This window comes from Homo sapiens, chromosome 12 (genome assembly GCF_000001405.40).
Source record: "Homo sapiens chromosome 12, GRCh38.p14 Primary Assembly".
NCBI classification, from domain to species: Eukaryota; Metazoa; Chordata; class Mammalia; order Primates; family Hominidae; genus Homo; species Homo sapiens.
Window position 1 is genome coordinate 69,548,543 of NC_000012.12, and position 25,215 is coordinate 69,573,757.

The 25,215-nt window shown below is 37.6% G+C and overlaps 1 protein-coding gene across 17 annotated transcripts in view; it reads left to right on the forward strand.

The window, feature by feature from the left end:
• Window positions 1-25,215, forward strand: part of FRS2 (fibroblast growth factor receptor substrate 2) — a 109,406-nt gene that overhangs the window by 78,155 nt on the left and 6,036 nt on the right. For 14 of the 17 annotated variants that reach the window (NM_001042555.3, XM_017018718.2, NM_001278355.2 and 11 more), the window contains 5 exons: window positions 13,638-13,732; window positions 20,463-20,554; window positions 21,789-21,975; window positions 22,734-22,892; window positions 23,576-23,739. In NM_001042555.3, the coding sequence (NP_001036020.1) occupies window positions 20,489-20,554; window positions 21,789-21,975; window positions 22,734-22,892; window positions 23,576-23,739 (576 nt within the window). In that variant the 5' untranslated portion in view covers window positions 13,638-13,732; window positions 20,463-20,488. Of the gene's footprint in view, window positions 1-9,257; window positions 9,315-13,637; window positions 13,733-15,715; window positions 18,099-20,462; window positions 20,555-21,788; window positions 21,976-22,733; window positions 22,893-23,575; window positions 23,740-25,215 lie in introns of those variants that run through there. The other 3 variants (NM_001278353.2, XM_047428118.1, XM_017018719.2) reach the window with 2 other exon arrangements.

Consider the following 25,215-nt stretch of genomic DNA (forward strand, 5'->3'; position numbering starts at 1 on the left):
GTTCTTTTCTCATAAGGTATCTTTTCCACTGATTATAGTGTAATATATAATTACTGTATTGAAAACATCAGTAACAGCTGCTTAAATCAGGGTTCTGGCAGGAACCCTGTAATGGAAAAGAATTTAATAAAGGGATTAGTTACACATTATGGGCAGGTTAAGGGAAATCAGCAAGTGATATTGGCCAGGTTTGCTGGGAACACCAGGCTGTTAGGAACAGCTCTTAACACTCCTAGGTGTCCAAAAGGGGACAGAGAGAAGAAGTGGTTACCTGAATCAGCAAGAGCTATAAGTATGTGAGAGAGCTGCCTAACAGGGGCCATTACTAGAACCTCAGTAAGGAAGGGAACCACAGCCAATCTGGTCTGCTGGTGCCTCCATGCAGGTGAGGCTCCTAGGGTGCAGAGTAGAGTAGAGAAGGTAAGAGAGTGGCTTTGGAGGGTCAAATGGAAAATATACAGCATTACAGATAACTTTTAAGCCCTACCTTAAAACAAACAAATACACTTATGTGCTTCAAGTTTAAAAATAGAGAAATGAAGAACATAATTATTTAGTGGTAGAAAGTTATAAAAACTCAGTTGGGTAGGTTTTAATGACATTAAACAGAATTAGTACAGCTAAAAATCAACCATAAAATTTCGTGAAGTCTTTAGAGGTTTTATATCATATTAAATGTTTTACTTTGGACTTACAAAGTTAAAAATGCTTTTTATCTTTTTTATGTGTTTTACTTAGAATTAATTGAATATAATATTTTATAACTTCAGAAATAATAACTTAAGAAATATGCTTTATATTTAAGTATTTAAAAGCTGTTTTGTTGTGTCTTTTTGTTCCCTTTAATGTAAAGTAGTTCAGATTTAGTTTAGTCCTTGAAATTTATTTCAATTGAAAAAAAAGCTCAAATCATCACGTCTAACTTTGTTGTGGTTAATTTTGCGTATTTAATTCATTTTGTTTTTAGAGACAACATCACACTTCTTAACCAGTAATGGACTCTACTGAAACACTGTCAGTGATTGGGAACTCAGCATTTAAAGGGAACTCAGTTCTTTGTTGGGCAGATAGAAGTTTGTTCCATTTGCATAGACTTCTGTGGTTTGGTCTGTCTCCTATTTCAGGAGCAAATCAAGCCTATTATTCCATAAGATGGAAATTTGAAGACAATTGTCTGTCTCTGTTCTGCTCTTCCATATTGCTAAATATTTTCTTCTCCACACTGGTTTCTACAGTCTTACCTTATTGATTCAACAGTGTTCTTTCTGTCCCATCTCACCTTGCCTCAGTCTTCCCCTAGGCTTCTGTGATACCACACTCTTGGGGGTTGTCCTCTTGTTTCTTGGAGAGTGAATGTCCAGTCTCCTTGTGGGCTTTTTTCACAATTCCTTTAGATGTTGGTGTTTCTGAGCTGCTGTAGGTCTTACTTTTCTTCACACTGGGCAGTCTCATCTGTCCGTATGCTTGGATCCGTAAGTTGATGGCTCCCAAATCTCTCTCCCATCTCCACACCTGTATTTCTATTTGTTGAGCATCTCCATTTGGATGTCTCACAGACATCAAAGTACATTCAAAACTGAGCTTATGTTTTTCTAAATCTTGTGTCCTTCCTATGTTCCCTGGCTCAATGTATGTACTGTCAACCTCAACTAAAAATGTATTTTCCTTGACTCCTGCTTTCCTTCCCAGTCTAATCAATCATCAGGTGTTATTAAGGCTAGCACTTAAGTATCACTCTAATCCATCCTTTTATTTTTTTCCATCTTCATTGTTTAGTAACTTAATTCAGTCCTCATAGTTATTGCATGCAACAACCACTTCCAAACCTGCAAAAACCATATGAAGTGTAGGGAGTGTTGGTAGGAAATATTTTTAACTCAACCTGTGAGGAAATACAGATTCAGAGAAGTTAAGTAAGAACTCAGATCTCTCTAGTGTCTTACATATTTTAACTAAGTCTAAAATGAAAGGCTTTGTTTTTAGCATTCTAAATTTCTCCAGAAGACATTATCTCCAATAATACCAGCCTGGGCGGTGGAGCAAGACCTGTCTCAAAACATACAATACCACCAAAGCCTTTCATTTTAAATTCTAATGTAGTGTTTAAAGTACATTTAGATAGCAGAGATATTGTATGCCATTTGTCAATTACATGAGGATTAAAACCTCACCTGAGCCATACTGCACTTTCTATTTAGAAGGATGAATCATTTCTGGGAATACAGTTTTGTAATTTACATGTGGAAAATTTAAAACTTTAAGGCTTCAACATGAGTATTTTATGTACATAATTATAGGAAACCAATATTCTTTGTAGCTGTTGAATTAAGTTCAAAGACCTTTCAAAGATAATTCTAAGTCTTTTTAAAAAGATTATTTAAAGTACACAGCTTTTCAGCCAGTATTGGTGAAGAAACATTTTGAGAGTATGACGGAATAAAACATCTTCTTAGAAATTTCAGCTGTTTTTTGTTGAGATTTGTTCTCTTCACATGTGTCTTTAAAAAAAAGAAAAAAGAAAGGAAGAAAGAAATATTCTCAAAGTTGCTTTCAAATCCCAGCACTTTGGGAGGCCGAGGCAGGAGTATTGCCTGAGGCCGGGAGTTCTAGACCCCTTGGGCAACATTGTGAGACCTTGTCTCTACAAAACATTTAAAAAATTAGCTGGGTGTGGTGGTATACGCCTGTAGTCCTAACTACTTTGGGAGGCTGATTCGGGAGGATCACTTGAGCCCAAGAGGTTAAGGCTGCAGTGAGCTTTGATCGCCCCACTACACTGCAGCCTGGGCAATGGAGCGAGACCCTGTCTCAAAACAAACAAACAAACAAACCCAACTACCAGTAATTATATGTTATTGTAAGTTGTTTTCAGAGGGATGAGCTCAAGTGTAGTTATGAATGTGGCTCTTCAGAATTACCTTCACCATGGAAGATTGATATATGTTTAAATTAAGATCCAGATAAATATGAAGGAAAGCAGACCATGAAACCTTTAGAGGAAGGATGCATATTGGCTTTGTTAATGTGGTAGAGAGGAAAACTGAACATTCTAAATTTGGCTTCTAGTAAAATTTTGATTGATTTCTTCACCTTCATTTCCCTATTGAAAAATGGGGAAAATAGTTCCCAGCAGTCTGCATTATGAGATTGTTTTTTAGATCAGTATTTAAGAAGGGCTCAAAAGAACATCACATCAGTCGTGGATGCTCTGGAATCCTACCACTTGATAGTAACTATCTTCAACATCTGGGAAGGAGTAAAGAAAAGATGGTCCAAACAACTTTTCATTTCTGTTATTTGTAATGTGTTGATAGTTCTTTCATTGACTGTATGGCATGTTTTATGGATCCTAAGAAACATTTTCCAATTTTATTCACTAAAATTTGGGTGTGTCTTACAATTAGTGGCATATTACAGTTAAATTGACTTTTTTTCTTTCTCAGTGGTATATAAAATATCAGTCTTAAAATCAGTCATCTCTGGCCGGGCACGGTGGCTCATGCCTGTAATCCCAGCACTTTAGGAGGCCAAGGCGGGCAGATCACCTGATGTCAGGAGTTCGAGACCAGCCTCAACATGGAGAAACCCCGTCTCTACTAAAAATACAAAATTATCCGGGCATGGTGGTGCATGCCTGTAATCCCAGCTACTCGGGAGGCTGAGGCAGGAGAATTGCTTGAACCTGGGAGGCGGAGGTTGCAGTGAGCCAAGATCATGCCATTGCATTCCAGCCTGGGCAACAAGAGCGAAACTCCGTCTCAAAAAAAAAAAAAAAAAAAAAAAAATCATGTCTCAGCTTTGATTAAAAACAGGATATATGTCTATTAATATTCAAAATAACAACAATAACAGTACAGTGACCACCATACCTGAGGATCACTTTTTTGGTAGGTAGCCTCTACTTTCTTAAACACAACCAAGAACTGGAAAGTAAGAAACAAAGGCTTCTGATGCTTAAAATCACTGTTACAGAACTCATGAAGTAAAGGCCAGGTACTTAAACTTACAAGATCCCTTTGCCTCTGAGTGTAGTGTCTTATTTTGTAGTTCATTAAGTTAATCCTAGGTATCTTATTACAGAGTCCACAGGGATTCAAAAGAGTAAACTATGGGAGGCTGAGGTGGGCAGATCTGAGGTCAGGAGTTCAAGACCAGCCTGGACAACATAGTGCAACCCTGTCTCTACTAAAAATACAAAACTTAGCTGGGCGTGGTGGCGCATGCCTGTAATTCCAGCTACTTGAGAGGCTGAGGCAGGAGAATTGCTTGAACCCAGGGGGCAGAGGTTGCAGTGAGCCAAGATCGCACTGTTGCGCTCCAGCCTGGGTGACAGAGCGAGACTCCATCTCAAAAAAAAAAAAAGTAAACTAAAAAGGAATGCATATAAATGTTTATTAAGTGGTGGTTCTAGGACTTACTGTACTTTGTGCTGAGAATGAGTGACCCATAAACAAATAATTAAAAATTATTTTTTAAAAATAACACAAAACTCAGAACAGGCCACTTAGAGCTATTTTTGTTTTTGTTTTTGTTTTTGTTTTTAGACGGAGTCTCAGTCTCACTCTGTTGCCCAGGCTGGAGTGCAGTGGCACAATCTCGGCTCACTGCAACCTCCGCCTCCCAGGTACACAAGATTCTCCTGCCTCAGCCTCCCGAGTAGTTGGGATTACAGGCGCCCACCTCCACGCCCGGCTAATTTTTTGTATTTTTAGTAGAGACGGGGTTTCACTGTGTTAGCCAGGATGGTCTCGAACTGCTCACCTCATGATCCGCCTGCCTCAGCCTCCCAAAGTGCTGGGATTACAGGCATGAGCCACTGCGCCTGGCCCACTTGGAGCTATTTTAGGAGGAGCTTGCAACCTATGTCAGTTACGCTGATTACAGCTTAGAAGAAATTTCTTATCAAAATGTAATCTGATTCCACTAGCACTTTCTTTAAGGGACAATATGATTGTACCTTTAAATTTTGATTGGAGAATATTGTTGATTAAATTTTCCCTTCTTATGGCTTAATGGAATTACTAGAACGTATTTTTCCTTGAAAGTATCAGGAAAAAAAAAAACAACTTTTGGGAGGCATCTGTTACACATCTGAAATAGGATTTGATTCTGTAATTCCAGTGGTCTCTAGACCTAGATAATTCTACCCATGTTGCTAGATGGCACCAGGGTGCCATTTTTAGGCCTTAGGGCTAAGGAATGGGCGTAGGTGGTAGGGAGGTGTTAGGAAAGAAGTAGGGAAGAAAAACTTTGGGAACATATTGTGGTACTGAAGACTGTCTCTAGGAGTTCTCAGTGGGCAGTTGCATACCAGGTGTCCAGCTGCATTATTTATGTTTGAAGTAAACCCAGGCTGTGTGTCTCCATGAATTCATAGTATTGGGGGCTTTTCAAGACATTCATTCCCCTAAGATGTGAATTTTGAGCATAGCTTGTTGGCCTCAGGCACTTTAACCTGAGAGTAGATGTTAAGTTCTGCTTGTTGGCAGGTTTCCAGCATTTACTCATTAGAGTTTCCCTACTTAAATGCTCCTGGCAGTTTCCCTTGGCCACTGTGTTCTTCACAGTCTGCCCAAACGTGTTTTGTATGTAGTCTGCTTTTGGGCTCTGCTTAGACACTTACAGCTTTTGTTTCTAAAGAACCCTTCAGTAAGTATTGATTTGTATTTTCTTTAGTTAATAATTCATTGATTATAAAAGCTATTCAAACACTAGAAAACATAAAAAGAAAAAATCCTTTTCATTCTACCACCAAATTAATCAGTGTTAACATTTTAGGGTGTGTTCATCTAGTCTCTTTTTGTGGGTTTATGTATTTTATGTGGAGGTAGGGGAGAGAAAAATAGGTGTAAAACATTATTTTGTAAAAATGCAAATCCTCTCAAGTTTGCTACTGGGTGTGAAGAGCAACTTTTAAAATAAAATTTTGTAGAATAATTTTAGAATGTTAAGTTGCAAAGATAGTACAGAGATTCCCATATACCCTTCACCTAGCTTCCCCTAATGTTAACATCTTACATAACCGTGACATATTTGTCAAAACTAAGAAATTAATACTAGTACAATACTATTAACTAAACTACAGACTATTTACATTTCTTCTGTTTTTCTAATGTTCTTTTTCTGTTCCAGGATCCAACCTAGGGATACATATTGCATTTAGTGGTTTGTTGTTGTTTTGAGACAGTGTCTTACACTGTTGCCCAGGCTAGAGTGCAGTGGCATGATCACAGCTCACTGCACTGTTGGCCTCCTGGGCTCAAGCGATCCTCTCACCTCAGCCTCCCCAGTAGCTGGGATTACAGGCATTCGCCACCACGCCCAGCTAACTTTTTTTTTTTTTTTTTGTAGAGACAGGATCTCACTAAGTTGCCCAGGCTGATCTTGAATTCCTGGGCTCAAGCAGTCCTCCCTACTTGGCCTCCTAAAGTGCTGGGATTGTAGGTGTGAACCACGTGCTCAGCCCAGCTTTATTTTTTTTAATAATATTTTTTTTTACCTTTTTTCGTTTTTCTTTTTTTTGAGACGGAGTCTCACTGTCACCCAGGCTGGAGTGCAGTGGCGCAATCTCAGCTCACTGCAACTTCTGCCTCCCAGGCTCAAACAATTCTCCTGACTCAGCCTCCCGAGTAGCTGGGATTACAGGCATGTGCCACCATGCCTGGCTAATTTTTGTATTTTTAGTAGAGATGGGGGTTTCATCATGTTGGCCAGGCTGGTCTCAAACTCCTAACCTTAGGTGATCTGCCCGCCTCAGCCTCCCAAAGTGCTGGATTACAGGCATGAGCCACTGTGCCCAGCCCTTTTTTCTTATACTTAATTTTATATCATGAACATTTTGTCTTTGTCATTAAATAGCTTTTGAACAATACTTATTTTAAGAGCTCTATAAAAGTTAATCACAGGGATAGATGTGCTCGGATGCAAACTTTTCTGGTAAACTTTTTGTTGTTGGCATTTCATGAGGGGGAATGTTACAAAACGTATATACAATTGACCCTTTAACAACACAGGGTTTGAACCGTATGGATCCACTTATAGATGGATTTTGTCAACCAGAAAGTATTTGTGGGATGCGAAATTTCCATATACAAAGGGCTGACTTTTCATACACACAGATTCCACAGGGATGACTGTGGCACTTGAGTGTGCACGTGTTTTGGTCCATACAGAGGCACTGGAACCAATACCCAGATACACCAAGGGATGACTATACAGAACAAACATTTTTATTAGTGGGATACTTGAATCGGGTGTGTTAGATTGTAACAGTTATTTTGAGTGCACTGCTCTAGAAGTAGAGAATAAATAGGCAAATTTAGTTTTCTTTGAGAATATATTTAACAATATTTTAGGTTGATTTAAATGCAGAAACATTTAAATGAGCTATTTGTGAAACAGTTTGTTTTGGGGGTTATAGTTGCTTGGCATTTGGCATAGCTTCTTTTGATCAGTGTGTGTGTGGCGGGGGGGGGGGCGGTGTACACATGGTATACACATTTCATGTGCACATAGTCAATATTAGACTTTAAAAAAAAATTAGAGATGATGTCCTGCTATGTTGCACAGGCTGGTCTCAAAGTCCTGGCCTCAAGCAATCCTCCTGCCTCAGTCTTCCAAAGTACTGGGATTACAGGCGTAAGCCAGCACACCTGGCCCATATTTAGACTTTTAATATTAGTCTAGTAACATCATATCCAACTGAGTTTGGAAATACAGATTTATAGTAAATTGTGCTTATACATTTCTATATTCAGTTTTGAAAAATATCTTTTAATTTACTTTTCTTTCTTTCTTTCTTTCTTTTTTTTTTTAAGTCTCACTCTGTTACCAAGCCTGGAGTGCAATGGCGAGATCTCAGCTCACTGCAGCCTCCACCTCCCAGGGTCAAGCGATTCACATGTCTCAGTCCCCTGAGTAGCTGGGACTACAGGCATGTACCATCGCACCCGGCTAATTTTTGTATAGAGACGGGGTTTCATTGTGTTGGCCAAACTGGTCTTGAACTTCTGACCTCAAGTGATCTGCCTGCCTTGGCCAAAGTGCTGGGATTACAGGCGTGAGCCATCGTGACCAGCTTTTGCTTACTTTTCTGTTATCCAACATTAATGTTTATTTAGTTCTAGGTTAAAGTATCATATATAAAAAGTGAAGATGCCTAGGGATTTTCTTACGTGTCTTTTAGTGTTTTATTGATGTTTATGGTTTGAATAATATTAGTTCGTGTATTTAACATGAATCTTGAAATTAGAGTGACTTGGATTTAAATTTTGTTGTTTTAAAAAATAAAGCCATGAAGCCAAATGCTTTTTAAGAACTATTAGGTATACCATATTAAGGAAAATATTATAAAATTCGTACTGTGGTTTTACCTCCTACAGTTGCTCAGTTTAGTAAAAACTTCATTGTCTATAAACATGAGTGTAATAGAAAAAACTGAATTGATTTTAAGTTACTCAGTGATTACATTAAGAACAACTTGGCATTTATTTGGGAAATAACAATTCCTTTGAATTTCACAGTATTTTTTAGTAAATGGGTATTGGGTTAAAGATTTTATATATGTGTTTTTCATAAGTTAAGTATTTATTATGCTAGAGTTCTGTCCCTGCTAAGGGATTAGTGTTTATTAGTAAATTTCTAAACTAGAGGTTTATTATGAAGGTTAAGTGACCCTTTATTAATTTGACACAGTTGTAAGATTAATACATAGAAATTATCACTGAGCTAAAGAATAAAAACATGGAATTTTGATCTACAATGTTTACAGAAAACTGAATGCACTGACTCTATGAGATCAAATCTATTCATTCAGATTTTCAGAGTTAATGATAATCGTTTTCTAGAGAGTACCTCTACTTTCTTACTGCTACCTTAAAAGCACACACCTTTGCTTTCTGTGGTGCGATCTGTGAATTTTTAGTGGAGAGAGCTGTGTGATTGCTCATATAGAATGTTCATCCTTTTGGTGTTGCTAGAGGATGGTATTTGATTTCCCTGTATATGTTTTTATACTAAACTAAGAGTTTCTTTGAGAGTTCTGAAGGTTGATTGTGTGTGTGTGTGTGTGTGTGTGTGCGCGCGCGCGCGCGCGCAGGTGCATGCACGCTAGGATTGTTGCCCTTGGTACTAATGACCTTATTGAATTAGCTAAGACAGAGTGACTCATCTGCTGGATTTGCACATATCTTAGGGCAGACATTATGGGCGCTCCAATTTAATTGTCTAAATTTCATCACCAGTGTTTCTTCCTATAGATACGTACCAAGATTAACAATGACTCCAGGATAGAGTTATGACCAACACTACTAAAGGTAGAGATAGTATTTTGTATCATCTTCCATTTTAGCTTTTTCTTTTTTTAAAAAGCTAGTTTTTTAGCAAACTATTTTAGTAACATTTTCTTAGTATTTGCCAAATACCCACACAAAATTGTTTTATATATATGTGTGTGTGTGTTGTTTTACACACAAACAAATGAATCTCTATATATATATTGTTGGATTTCTGTTCCTAAAAAACAAAATACATGATTAAAAGGGACTTTGTCAGATTCACTGTGAGATATGGGGTTAAAGTGTGTGAGTTTTCTGGGTCTAGAAGGGAAGAGGGAATCTGACGTTCAGGTCATTGTACAGTGACACTGCAAGTCCAGTTGCTGTCGGGGGAATGTTTATAAATGGATGTTGTGCCTTGAAGGTTAGACTTTGGACATCACAGACAGTAAAACACTATTAATTGTTTTCTTACCAATGTTAAGTTAAATTCTTCTTGTATGTAATCTCAATTTTCTGCCTCCATGGGAAAGTATTCTGGTAGGACATTAGTGGTTTATGTAAGATTTTAAGGGGAAATGTGAATTACCCTCAGTAGTACGAACTGACCCTTGGTGAAATGGCCATGTGCCTTCTTTCCTACCTATCTCCTAATATTTTCCCATGAACACCCTACATTCCAGCTCTAAGGAACTACCTGGTTCTCCTGGAGGAGGCCGTGTTGTTTTAGGTTTGGGGGGTTTTGCATGCTTTCTTCTTAATCTGGATTGCCCCTGCCCTAGCTAACTCCCATCCACCTTTCAGGACTCAGTATAGGGACCAGCTTTCCCAGGGAGACTTTTTTGATGCTATTTCTGTCTTTCCTTCTGTTCTGTATTGAATGTTTTGATAGCACCAGCACATGGGTCTGCAGTTCTGCCACATACTCATTTTCTTGTCTGTCTCTCCCACTAGACAGTAAGCTCCTTGGAGTCAGGGAATGTGTCCTTTATCTTTATTTCTAGCACTTAACTCAGTGCCTGACACACAGAATAGGTGCTCAGAAAATACGTGGTAGAATGCCTCAGTGTATGGATAGGGAAATGAATTAATTCATTGTTTAATTTTCTCTTTAATGTTGATAGTTGCTTAAAAATCATTTTTATCTACTAAGTAACCTTTTGTTAGCTTAATTCAAGCAACTATGCCTGAAATAAAGAAATGCCACTTTAGGCTGGGCAAAGTGGCTCACACCTGTAATCCCAGCACTTTGGGAGGCTGAAGTGGGAGGATTGCTTGAGCCCAGAAGTTCGAGACCAGCCCGGGCAACATAGACCCATCTTAAAAGAAATGCCACTTTATTAATATTTTAGATTTATCCACAGAAAAGTGAATTGATGACAGTTTAAATATACATAAGCATATGCTTAATCTTTCTTGATCATACTGGTTTTACTTATGTTTTATAGAGAAATGAGAGGAATCTGGTTTAAACTGCAGTTCAGGGAATTTTGATTAGATATAATTGCCAGAAATTAAGGTACCAGATATTGAAGTGATTTGTAAGTAATGTAATTGATTTTTTTCAAGAGTTAAAAAGAGGGGGTGAGTGGAGGGTTATGAATTATGAAGCAGTTCATCAACATTGCCCTCAGATTAAAAAAAAACTAAAGAAAGATCTGTTTAGGAATGTGCAAATACAACCATATTCATGGATGGATGCTTAAAAATAGTCACGTACCTTTGTAGTTTTGTGTATAGGTGTGTGCTTTAAATTTTCACCTAACAAGGGAACTGTTGCAGATGTCCTTGCTTTTGACATAATGGCTCTGATTTAAGGCAACTAGCAGACTGTACTGAGAATCTCCCCTCCTTAGCTTTTTTTCTTAACTCTTCTTTTTCAGAATAATATAAATAATTCAGAAATCTTTGTCAGTGTTAAGAATTAACAGGAAATTAATGTGTATATTAAAAGACCTACCCAATGGTTTAAAAAAAAAAAAACAACCAGACCGTGGACACAACACAGTTTTTGAATGCCATCCTCTTGATTGTTTTAATATAATAAAACATGGCAGTTTTCTGTGCCCAAAATTTAGTTATGTTGCTATGCTTCTAACTATAGACATTCTTTCCTGGTTGTATTTGAACAAAATTACTGTAGTATAAGCCAAATTCCCCCTCATTGCTAGTGAACCAAAAGAGCACATATACCTTCCTAAGCACCAAATTTATAATCATACTTGTGAATAGAGTTCAGTGTTCTCTTTCCATGTCATTCTGCAAGAATCATATTTGGAATAATTTAGGACAGCTTTACTAAATTTATTAATGTAATACTTGTTATAAGGATGTGCTTAAGTTCTAGATTTTCTGTGCTTACAGTGCAAACGTGTTCTTTGTGAAATAAGAGACAGAATTTTACCTGTAATGGTGATATAATAATGCCTTGTCTTTTAAAATGCTATTAATTTTCGAAATATCTTTATATCCAGAGTTTTTTTTGGTTTTCATAGTAGCTCTGTGAAGTGGGTGTCCTAATCTTACAAATGAGGGAATGTAGGCACAGAAAGGTTGACTGACGGTCAAAGGCATGCAGCATTGTAAAATAACAAAGTATTGTTGTTTTCACAGCTAACATGTACTAGTGCTTACTATATGTTAAACACTGTTTTAAGATTTTTGCGTGTATTAATTCATAAGTGATTGGGCTTTGGTGTCAGATCAAAATTTAAGTCTAGCCCTTCTGATAAGTTCTTGACCTTGGGAAAGCTACCTAACCCTTTTAAGCCTTGGTTTCCTTATTTGGAACACAGAAATAATGGTAGTATGTACCTGATTGGTTGTTTGGATTAAATGAGATAATCCAAATGACTCTATGTGTGGCATACAGTAAGGTAAATTAGTTTGCTATAGAAAAATAGGGTGGTGGTAGACAGCATTTAGTGTAATTTTTAGCCTCTTGGTAAAATTGTTTTCTTTTTTACTAAGTATCATAGTCAATGCAGTTATATATAATGTTTTTAAGAGCTTAATGAGTTGGTACACTGATTCTTTAATATGTTTAACTTCATTTCAAAGCTTATGACTTTTCATTGATAGTTAATAGGTAGATCACTATCATTTCTCTTAATTTTATGTGCAGTCATTAAATTCATTGCAGGATAAGGGTTGCAGAATGCTTATAAGTGGAATGAAGAATGAGAGGAATAGAGATATTTCTGACTTAATTGGCCAAAGTCCCCTAGAATACATTTTAAAAGAGTCGGGCAAAGAGAGTATATATTCACCTAAAAGAAGTGGTTTATGGTAGAATTAGTTCAGCCCTGGGCAGTTTTCCAAGCCAGAGATAAAGCATGGCGTATATTTGAGCTCCTGGAGAAAAGAAAGGGTTAATAAAGAAGAGGGACAGGATTGCCACCCACCTTAAAGTGAGATGTAGCAGCATCTCACAAGGAGTGTAAGCCAACACCTGGCATGCTGATTTTATATATAAAATTGAAGTTCAGAGTTGAAATTGTTGCATTTGAAGTTCAGAGTTGAAATTGTTGACTGTGGGTACATGGTTTTGGAAATGTTCATTTTGGCTATCAATCATATTCTCTAGTTAATATGTAGATTAAAATGAGACTATTCCCATAACCCCTAATAAAATGCCTGGTACAGAGTAGGTTTTCAGTAAATTTTAGTGTCCCTGTTTGAGTGAGTTTGAGTTTTTTTGTGCTGTGAAGGGTAAATAAATTGACCAGAAATTTTTCAAAAATACATTGAAATCTCTTGTAACTCTGGACTGTAATTTATCACTGTAATGTCACTGTTCTGTGATTCTGTGGCATGCTTGTTCATACTGTTGATTTTCTGATTTACTGATTTTTCTGAACTGGTTTTGGAGGGGTCTTGTGGAATAGGAAGATATGGGGGATGGATTTTGAAGACAGTCAGCTCTTCAAGAGGAATTATGGTGAGTGAGGTTTAGGAAATGTCACTGGGGATGGAGAATTAGTCTGCTACTGGCCAAAATGGGTTTTTAGAGGTGGAATGGAACCTTAGAGGTGGTTTAATCTAACCCCTCATTTTACAGCTATGGAGATAAGTATAGAGAAGTGAGTTGTGCAAGTATTATCGCTGTAGTAGAGAAGCCAGAAACATCATAGAACTTAGACTATCACATTTTTACTTTTTCTTCTGAAAAAGAATGATAACATGTGCATATTATATTACTTTTTAAAATTGATGTTATATGTTAAATACTTTTTATTCAATCTTTTAGACTTTTGAGTTTGTTTAAATAGATTAACTGAACTAACTGTGCTGCCAGAAAGCTCATAAGGAATATTATTCTTTAGAAATGAGAAATTCTCAATGTTTTTCTTCTGTTTTTAGGTTAAATCAGCAAACAAAGAAAACATGGTATTTTGAAATATGATTAAACTCCTGATGCTGCAGCAGAGGCTAAGAATATTAATGGCCAGATCTAGGTAAGTTGAAGTTTATTTATGTTTTACATCACTAAGCCTACATTTACAATTATTTTTTATTTTTATTTTAAATACAGATGAAGTCCTGTTATGTTGCCCAGGCGGTTTCTAACTCTTGAGCTCAAGCGATTCTCCACCTCAGCTTCCCAAAGTGTTAGGATTACAGGCGTGAGCCACCACTCCTGGCCTATAATTTTTTAATGAGAGAATTTAATAATGTTTTCTTGAACTGCAACCATTTTTCTTCCTGATTGCTGACACCACCCCCCTGCTCCCAAAGGATGAAGATAAATGGCTTTAATTAACTAAGACATGTTTACTAATTTAAAGTATTCAGCAAACTTGTTATAGCATTGCTCTTCCCAAACAAAAGCTACCTTTTATTTTATTTGTATTTTTAATTTAATTTAATTTTAATTTTATTTTATTTTTTGAGACAGAGCCTTGCTTTGTCGTCCAGGCTTGGAGTGCAGTGGCATATCATAGCTCACTGCAGCCTCGACCACCTGGGTTTAAGTGATCCTCCCACCTCAACCTCCCAAGTAGCTGGGACTACAGGTGTGTGCCACTGTGCCCAGCTAATTTTCTATTTTTTGTGGAGACAGAGTCTCACTGTGTTGCCCAGGCTGGTCTTGAACTCCTGGGCTTAATTAAGCAGTCCTCCCACGACAGCCTCCCAAAGTGCTGGGATTACAGGTGTGAGCCACCACACCCGGCCTACCTTTTGTTCTTAAATGTACCCTACTTACTTTTGTATGTTGCTGTCTTGAGTGAGCATAATAAAATCATTTGTGTTTTTGCTGAGTTACAAACCTGGAGGAGTGTATGCAAATGAGATCACATGGTTGTTCCTCAAGTGTTTACAATATTAATGCATATTATTAGGTGTCACATAGCTCAGATGTAGTCTTCAAATATTAATCTGGTGGTCATAAATGCAGAATATCTAGTATCTAGCCTTTTCCCTTGCCTCAGAGTTTGTGGTTTAGGAGAAAGAATCAGATATGTGGATGAAAACTTCACATTAAAGAAGTTTCCTTTCAGGAATTGGAAGATTGGCCACAACTGCCCATGTTCCAGCTGTGTCTATCCCTCACTCATGCTAAGCCTGTTCTTTAGCCTTACTGAGGCCACCTGTTTTTTTGTTTTGTTTTGGGGTTTTGCCCCATTTTGTATTTTGTTAGCTCTCTTCTTTCTTTACTTCTTTCCTGACTGGATGTCATGATCTGTCACTTCAAACCCCTGTATTGCCAACATACTTTAGTATCCTTGCCCTCTTACCCTCTGACCGTGGGTCAGTTGAACTGTCTATCCTGTGGACTGCTGAGCACTGCTAGCAAAACAGCATAATCTTGCCTCTGCAGCCTCTGCTGAGTTCTCATCTCAGCCTACTTAATAATCCTGCTCTCTTTTCTTGGGTAGCTCCTTGGTGACTAATCCTGCCATTCTCAAGTCCCTCATTCTACAAGCCTTGCGTTCTCTTTTACAAAGGAAATGCAGGGTGATAAATATTACCTACTTCAGCCTCTTTTCTATATTCGACCCACCCTTATGTCTTTCCTCTCTCCTCAGAGAATGAAGCATTCCTCCTTCTCTGGGTAAACCTCTCAATCTGGGCCCTGGAACTCATCTCTACTATCCCCCTCTGTCTTGATCCATCAATTAGCCCTTCTCTTTTCTTTGTTTTTCCTATGTTTTTAAACTTTCTTGACCTACTGATTATAAGCCTGCATAAATCTATGTCATCTTAAAATACGTAACTCAAGTAATGTATTCTCTTTTGAATATATTCACACCGTAGCCCTCTCTATTCTTTATTTTCTCAACCAGTTCTTCAAAGACCAGTTTCCATCCTCTAGGGGTTACCTCTTTATCTTCCACTTGCTCATTGTAGTTTGGCATCTGTCTCTGCCATGGATGGTGCCCTCCTGCTTGATGCTTACTTTTCTTAGTTTGTACTATTCTGATCTTTTTTTTTTTTTAATTCCTTCACTGGCTTCTCTCTACTCCTGTATTTAAACACATTTGTATTTCCCCAGAATTTCAACCACAGACCAGTCTTCATACTATCCTTGAGCCAGTGTTCAAGAGCTTAAAATGTGACATGTGTTCTAATGTTTTACCTTCTCCCTCAAACACATACTTATGTACTTAACTATTGCACTTGGACATTTCCCTGGGCTCTCAGTTTAACATATCTGAACAAATCATTATCACTTCCTCTTGAAGACTACAGTTTTTTGTATCTCAGGTAATAGACCCCTGGCACCCTTTGTCTGCCATGCTGGAAACTGCCTCTGTTTTCCATTATGTCAAGTCAGTTCTTTGGTGCCACTGACTTTTCCTCTTAAATGTTCCTTAAATTTATTCTTTTCTTCTTCATTCCTACCATTGCTGCTCTTGTTTTAGGTTTTTATCATATTTCATTTTTTAATAATCTCAAACTGATTTTCTTTCCTCTGAGCTAAACTCCTACTTAAATTTATCATACATATGTTTATTTAAAATGCACTTCTGACCGTCTCACTTTTCTACTTAAAATACATCAGTGGTTTTCCATCATGTGTAGGATAAATTCCTTTCTCTTTGGCATGGCATACAAGGCTTTCATATCACATATTAGGCATTTCATTAATTATTGTTGTATTGAACTCAAACATTCAGTGTGGATAGAGTCCCCAAGTAGGTTGCACTGCCACTCATATATCACTTAATGGTGGAGATTCCTTCTGAGAAATGTGTCATTAGACAGTTTCGTCACTGCGCAAACGTCATAGAGTGTACTTACACAAACCTAAATGGTATAGCCTACTATACACCTAGGATATATGGTATAGCCTATAGCTCCTACTCAACAAATCTGAGCAACATCACTGTACTGAATACTATAGGCAGTTGTAACACAATGGTAAGTATCTGCATTTCTAAACATAGAAAAGGTACAGTAAGAAAACTATAAAAGAGAAAAAATGGTACACTTGTATAAGGCACTTGCCGTGGATGGAGGTTACAGAACTGGAAGTTGCTCTTGGGTGAGTTGGTTAGTGGGTGGTGAGTGAATGTGAAGGCCTAGAATGTTATCGTACACTACTGTAGGCTTTATAAAACTGTACTCTTAGGCTACGCTGTTTGTTTAAATAATTTTTTCTTCAGTAATAAATTAGCTTACTATAACTTTTTTACTTTATAACCTTTTAATTTTTTGAAACTTTTTGACTCTCTTATAATATTTAGCTTAAAACACACACATTCTACAGCAGTACAGAAGTATTTTTTTATATCCTTTAAGATTTTTTTCTGTTTTTAAAATTTTTAATTTTTTTTTAACCTTTAAAACTTCTGTTAAAAACTAAGACAAAGACACAAACACACACATTAGCATGGGCCTATACAGGGTGAAAATCATCCATATCACGGTCTTCTCCTCCTACATGTTGTCCCACTGGAAAGTCTTCAGGGGCAATAACATGGAGCTGTCATCTAGGAAAACTGCACCTTCTTCTGGAATACCTCCTGAAGGACTTGCCTGAGGCTGTTTTACAGTTAATTTTTTTTTTAATAAGTAGAAGGAGTATACTCTGATATAATAGTAAGATACATAGTATAGTAAATACATAAACCAATTACATAGTCATTTATCATTATCAAGTATTACGTACTATACATAATTGAATGTGCTATAGTTTTATACACTGGCAGTGCAGTAGGTTTTTTTTTATACCAGCATTATCTCAAACACATGAATAATGTGTTGCACTGTGATGCTGTGATAGCTATAGTGTCAGTAGCTGACAGGAATTTTTCAGCTCCCTTGTAATCTCAGGGAACCACTGTCATATATGTAGTCTGTTGCCAACCAAACATTTGTTATGTGGCTCATGACTGTATATCCCTGCCAGCACGAGAGGTTCTACCTTAACAGGTAGCTTATGAAGATGCCAAGTGGAAGGATGATTTTCCTGCTCCTTTTGAGAAAAAAAAAAGTTTAAAAACATTCCTTTGGAGCATCATCTTTTGAAGCAAAAGCCATACTGTAGTAATCTTTTAGCTCTTCATATTTCACAAGGAGGTCGGGGAGAACAAATATGTACTTTCAAGAAGACTTTTAAAAAATGTCTCTATCAATTATCCCTTTACTTAAAATTTCTTATATTACTCATCCTATAATTTATTAATATTAAACATTTACTATTTTTTAAAAAATTAAATGTTTATAGAATATGTGCCATGTCTGAGGCAGGAGAATCTCTTGAACCTGGGGGGCGGATATTGCAGTGAGCCGAGATCACGCCATAGCACTCCAGCCTGAGCAACAAGAGCGAAATTCCGTCTTGGGGGATTTAAAAAAAAAAAGAATATGTGCCATGTAAGTTGGTATGCTTAGTGCCCTGGAAAATGAACAAGACAAGATTTCCTGTCTTTAAAGAGATCACAGCAAAGTGGATGGTGCAGAAAGATAAACATTGCAGTAGAGTACGATAAAGGCCACAATAGAGTTATGCCATTCTATTGTGGGAACACTAGAGGCAGGCTATCTTCGAGTTAACTGGAAGATCAAGTCTCAAATCTAGGGAACATGTCCCTAGCTTGTTCAGGCTGCTTTATGGTTGGGCCCCATTTGTCTTCCAGTCTACCCTGTAGTCCAGTCATACTGAACGCCTCACTTTCTCCTGAATGTGGTGTGACACTTCATGACTTTTGTCTGTCTCAGGTGCTTATTTCTCTTTATTTTGCTTAGCATGTTGTTTCTGCTCTTCTTTTAAATCCCAGCTCAATTAGTGCTTCCTGTCCTGCCTAACCCAGAAAGTTAGTTGTTCCCTTTCATGTGCCCACAGTACTCTGCTCATATCCTAATATAAGGTTTATCGCAGTGCATTATCTATTTACATCTCTCTCTCTCTCTTTCTCTCTCTCCCCCTTGATACTCACAGCTCTTCAAAGACAAAGATGGTGACTTATGTGTCCTTGTACTATGATACTTAGCTGGCATATTAGTTAAAGCAAAAATACCAAATATCATGAGTCTTAATTAACTTTACTATTATATGTTATCATATACACTCTTGGTTTATACGCTAGTACACTTTTTCATTTTCTTAATACTTATACCTGCTAGGGATCCTTCACATTTGTTTAATACAGTCCATTTAAATCACAGGTCCTATAGCACCTTCTGTATGCTAGGTATCGTGTTAGGTACTAGGAATGTAAAAATGAGTAAGGTTCATCCTTGCTGACAAGGGGCTCACAATGGAGGAGAAAAGACAGATAAACAGATACCTGCCACAATTTCTACTCAGTACAAAGTGTGATAGATGCTATGATACTAGGAAGCCCAGGGTGCTTTGGGTTAGCATATGCATGACGGTCATACATAATAGTATAACTTGCCTAGTTGCTTGGAGTCAGGGAAAGCATCCTAGAGGAACTGCACTTTGAGTTGAATCTTGAGAAAGGAAAGAAGCAGAAAGGGAGCAGCTTGGAAGGATGTGAGAGACCAGGATGCTCTGGGGAAACTGCAGCTTGTTTATTCTGACAGGACTAAGAATAGGGCTTGAAACAGAAAGCAGGGAGAGTCTAGACTGGATCTGTTAGACAGGGATTACATTGTATCTGATCGGATCTATCATACTGAAGAGTTTATACTGTTAAACTGAAGATAGTGGAGAGCCACTGAATAATTTTCAACAAGCTTCAATCAAATTTATGTTTGTAATGTTTTGTAGCTTCTGTGCTTCCTTCCCTCCTCCTTTTTCATATATTGTCATATTCTATCTGATTATTTCCCTTGTTTGTAAGTGATGCTTTGGAGTTTTCTTTGTCTGCTCAGTTGGAGTGTTCTTAAACACTCAATGTCAGGTATATAACCACTTACCTCTAACCTTCTATGGGAAAGGAGTATTAAATAGACATGCTATATCAGTTTTGCCAGTATTCTGTGTGTTACTTTACTGCTTAATTTTGAGTTGTCTTTCTCTCTTACCAATGCGCTATTCGAAATTTGATTTTGTTTTAATTACCAATGAACTCTTGTCTTGTGGAGACATAAAAGATACTACAATGAGTAACAACAGTCAAAATACCTGCCAAGCCAGAAGTTCACCATCCCTTTGGTGATTTTTTATTTAAAGAACAAGCCAGGTCTGGTAGTCCTGTAGTCCCAGCTACTCAGGAGGCTGAGGCAGGAGGATCACTTGAGCCCAGGAGTTTGAGCCCAGCCTTGGGCAACATAATGTCTGCCTGCCTGCCTGCCTGCCTGCCTGTCTCTGTGTCTCTGGCTGTCTCTCTCTCTCTCTCTCTGTCTCTCTCTCTCTGTCCCTCTCTGTCTCTCTCTCTCTCTTTAAAGAAGGACATGAAATTCCTGATAAGCCACAAAGGGTTAATTTCATTATTAACTCTTGAACAAAAATTAATTATTTAGGTAATATTATATATGAGACCTTAAGTTGGTTTTTTTTTTAGATGATTTTAGAATAGGTGACCTTTGCAAATTTAACTAGAAATTTGAGATTTGTTTGACATTATTAATGCCTCACAAAATTTATTCTCATTATTACTGAGTAAAATCAACTAGCTAGTTGTATAAAATCTAGCTGCAGCCATATACCTTGTTGGACTTAATTTTCTGCATCAGAATAATGTTTGTGTTAGATGATTTCTAAAGTCTTTTTCTGTTTACAGTTTTTGTATCCTTCATCTAATAAATTTTTCCAAATTATTTTTCATGTAGTGCACACATGGTCTTCTGAAGAAGCCATGGGTAGCTGTTGTAGCTGTCCAGATAAAGACACTGTCCCAGATAACCATCGGAACAAGTTTAAGGTCAGTAAAACTGGTTGAGTTATATATCTTACTGCCTAGTTGGGTGTTCTTCTTTTATTTCACTTAACATATCTTATTTCTGGCTTTTATCACCAAACCTTTCTATTTCCCTTTCTTTCCACCCTGTCTTTCTTGATTTAATAAATGATGACAACATTTTCTTACAGTATGGAATTTTTTTTAGTTTTCCTTCGGTCCTCTGTATCTAATTAGCCATACCGTTCTGGTAATACTGTTTTTAAAATGCCATTTTACGGGGTGCCTTTTCAATCTCATCACTATCTGTCTTTCAGTTATTATTTTCATGTGTGCCTGTGTGATTTCTTAACTGGACTCTACCTCAAGTCACCCTCTGATTCATCCTGTAGTCACCATCAAATTAATCTTCTTCTCTCATCATTCACTAACCTCTTTGCTAAAATTGTGTGGTGTTATTTTACCTGTAGGCTAAATGCTGCTATAGCTGTTTTGTGTCTGATAATTTGACCTCGATCTGTTACAAAGAATAGCCTTGATCACACAAACCTAGGTGTAAGTCTGTCACTTTATAAGCTTTGTGACCTTGGGCAGGTTACGTTATTACTGAGTCTTAATTCCATTTTTGTACAGTGTAGTCTAGGATTGTTATGAGGGTTAAATACATGTAAAGCTCTTTTCCTACTCCCAGGGGAATAGTAACTTCTCCCTAAATGTTACCTACTGCTCTTAGTCTTTGGATGTTTTCTGAAGCTCAGCAGTACAAAGCCTTTCCTCATATGAACTCTGTGCCAATCTATTTTGGTGTCTTTGAAAGGTACTTTTTTTGTTCTGCTTTAACATTGTGTCTTTATGATGTCCCTTTATCTCCTGACCCACTAGATTTCCCCTCTGATTTTATTTTCTGCGTAAATTTATTTATACTAGCGGTCCAGCTAAAGGCCCTCCTCCTCTTAAATGAAGGTGTCTCAACAACCTTAGACCACACTTCCTGCCTTCTGCAGCCTCTGTTGCATTCCTTTGTCAATTAATCATACACTTTTGTGGTATTGACTTTGTGTTTCTACATTTTGTTTCCCCAGTGGGAATGTAAATTTCTTACAGATCTGAACTGGGTGTTACACGGCTACGTAGTCCATGCCTGATACACACATTGGTTGATGAATGAACTAACAAATTACAAATAACTAATTAGCAACAATGCATTTTCCTGACGAATTGGTGACATATTTGCATGACTGTCACCTTCTTTTTTTAGGTCATTAATGTGGATGATGATGGGAATGAGTTAGGTTCTGGCATAATGGAACTTACAGACACAGAACTGATTTTATACACCCGCAAACGTGACTCAGTAAAATGGCACTACCTCTGCCTGCGACGCTATGGCTATGACTCGAATCTCTTTTCTTTTGAAAGTGGTCGAAGGTGTCAAACTGGACAAGGTAGAACCTTTGTTTTTTTTCCCAAATATTGTATTTGAAATTGTTTTTTCAGCTATTCTGTATACAAAGATTAAATTAATATTTTTCTTCTGAAAAAAATCCCAAAATAAACAGATTGTTAAGGAAAGATATAGTATACTGTGTATTAATTTATCAACTGTTTATTAAGCACATTGTCTATGTGAGAAATTTTGGCTCATGTCAACTTTAAGATTTTTCAGTAAATGATTGGGTCAGCTAAATTGACTAAGTGTCTTTATCATTGATTTTTTTACTACCTACTACTTGAATGGCCTTGACAAGTTACAGGACTTCCATTGAATGTTAAATTTCTTCTCTATAAAAGGGAAATGGTAATACCTATCTTTTAATTATTGTAATAATTAAACAAGATAACAATTGGAAAACACCTAGGGACTTTCCAAGGGGCCTGTTACATGGCAAATGATCACCTTGGAATAGTGAGTTGGGCTCCCCCTGCTGTTAAGAAACAGACTAGCGTAAGTGCGCAGGTCTTGATTTCATTAGCTTTATTTTGGGCCATCTCCCTTAGATGAATGAAAATTATTCTGTGAACTTTTGGCGGGGGTTTGTTTTGAAACAGAGAATAATCATTAATTTATCAGATATTTATTTAAAAGGGATTTCTGACTCGGTGCGTAGAATGCTTACTTTACAATTCTGCTGTTTGTCAAGTGTTCCTATAGTTTTTTTTAAAGGTATGTTAACTATTTTTCCCTTTTGGTTTATATTTGTAGGAATCTTTGCCTTTAAGTGTGCCCGTGCAGAAGAATTATTTAACATGTTGCAAGAGATTATGCAAAATAATAGTATAAATGTGGTGGAAGAGCCAGTTGTAGAAAGAAATAATCATCAGACAGAATTGGAAGTCCCTAGAACACCTCGAACACCTACAAGTAAGTACCCCTTTTCCCTTTCACATTTTGAATAACAGACGTTTAGTTGTAAGCTATAGATTGTGGGTATTTAATCAATAACACACTAGAAATCACCACTGGATAACAGAAGTATAATGGTTGTCAGTTTTTAAAAACAGCTGTAGGCCGGGCGCAGTGGCTCACGCCTGTAATCCCAGCACTTTGGGAGGCTGAGGCGGGCAGATCACTAGGTCAGGAGATCGAGACCATCTTGGCTAACACTGTGAACCTCCATCTCTACTAAAAAAATACAAAAAAATTAGCCGGGCGTGGTGGTGGGCACCTGTAATCCCAGCTACTCGGGAGGCTGAGGCAGGAGAATAGCATGAACCCGGGAGGTGGAGCTTGCAGTGAACTGAGATCATGCCACTGCATTCCAGCCTGGGCGACATAGCAAGACTCCGTCTCAAAAACAAAACAAAACAAAACAGAACAAAAAAACACAGCCGTAGTTCTAAGTACTTCAAATATTTAAAAAATGAAAACATTCAGTATTTCATATTAGGTAAAATATGGAGTTGGGGGTAATACTATTTGTGCTCTGATTTCTGCTGTCTTGGCAGAAAGACCTCCTATAATCCTCAGTACAGATTCGATTCTTACTCATTTTTATTCTCTCTGCCCCGCCCCCCTTTTCCTTAAACCAATAAACAAAAACTCAGCTCCAGGATTTGCTGCTCAGAACTTACCTAATGGATATCCCCGATATCCCTCATTTGGAGATGCTTCATCCCATCCGTCAAGCAGACATCCTTCTGTGGGAAGTGCTCGCCTGCCTTCAGTAGGGGAAGAATCTACACATCCTTTGCTTGTGGCTGAGGAACAAGTAAGCATGTGCTACTGTGTAACAGCAATAATGATTGTTCAGAGTTAGGGTATCACTGTGCTAATACTGGAAGATTTTATTCAGCTTGAAGTTTAACTTTATCTGTTTGTAAATTACTTTTGTAGTGAACAATCAGAGGAGATAGCATATATTTGCTGGTTTATGCTCAAATATATGCGGGTATTCAGGGGAACTTACCATTACAGTAGCTTGTGGGTTCACAGAAGAGGTACATCTATAGATTAAGAAAGGCATAACTAATGGTCAGTTCCCATTATAAGAATGTCCAATGGATTAAGAGTTTATGCTGCTTTTCATATTTTAGCCATTATAGTCAGTGAACTACGAGTAGGAAGGTAGATTTTGCTGTTAATGTTATGGAGTTATTTAGTGTTCCCGAGTATGCTAGTTTTCATGTGTGGAATGAAGTATCTGGTTGGAACCTCTGTATTAATTAGTTATACTTATGTTTTGTAAACCATATGTCACATTAAAAAGTTTTTAGTGTTTTTAAAATCAGTTTCTTTGTGTTCTTTACATAATGAGTTGTTATATTATTTACTGTAATTACATGAGTCTTGGTCTGTCGCCCAGGCTGGAGTGCAGTGGCATGATCTCAGCTCACTGCAACCTCCACCTCCCGGGTTCAAGCAGCTCTCCTGCCTCAGCCTCCCAGGTAGCTGGGATTACAGGCGCAGGCCACCACATCCAGCTAATTGTTTCATATTTTTAGTAGAGACCGGGTTTCACCATGTTGGCCAGGCTGGTTTTGAACTCCTGACCTCAAGTGATCTGCCTGCCCCGGCCTCCCAAAGTGTTGGGATTACAGGCGTGAGCCACTGTGCCCGACCCTTGTAAATATTTTTATATTATCTCCCCAAAATACTATTAAGCTTTTCTAAATAGTGATAATTTCTTACTTGGTGGCATTTATTTTATATATATGCATTTTACAGAACTCTTATTAAATCTAGTGGAGTTAATCTTCTTATACATTCAGATCATCAGTAAATAAGGATAAACTTATCTCTTTTCAAAGTCGTTATTTATTTCTGGATCATGTTTTAATGCTTTGAGAACCTCTAAAACAGCAGCAAAATGATAATCCCTATTTTGTTCCTGATTTTTATTTTTTACATAATATTTATCATGTTTAACAATCAAATATAATGTTGCATGTTATTTTATTTTATTTTTTGAGATGGAGCCTCACTCTGTTGCCCAGGCTGATAATGTAATGGTGTAATCTCGGCTCACTGCAACCTCTGCCTCCCGGGTTCAAATGATTCATGTGCCTCAGCCTCCAGAGTAGCTAGGATTACAGGCGCTCACCACCATGCCCAGCTAATTTTTGTATTTTTAGTAGGGACGGGGTTTCACCATGTTGGCCAGGATGGTCTCGAACTCCTACCCTCAAGTGATCCACCCGCTTCAGTGTCCCAGAGTGCTGGGATTACAGGCATGGGCCACTGCGCC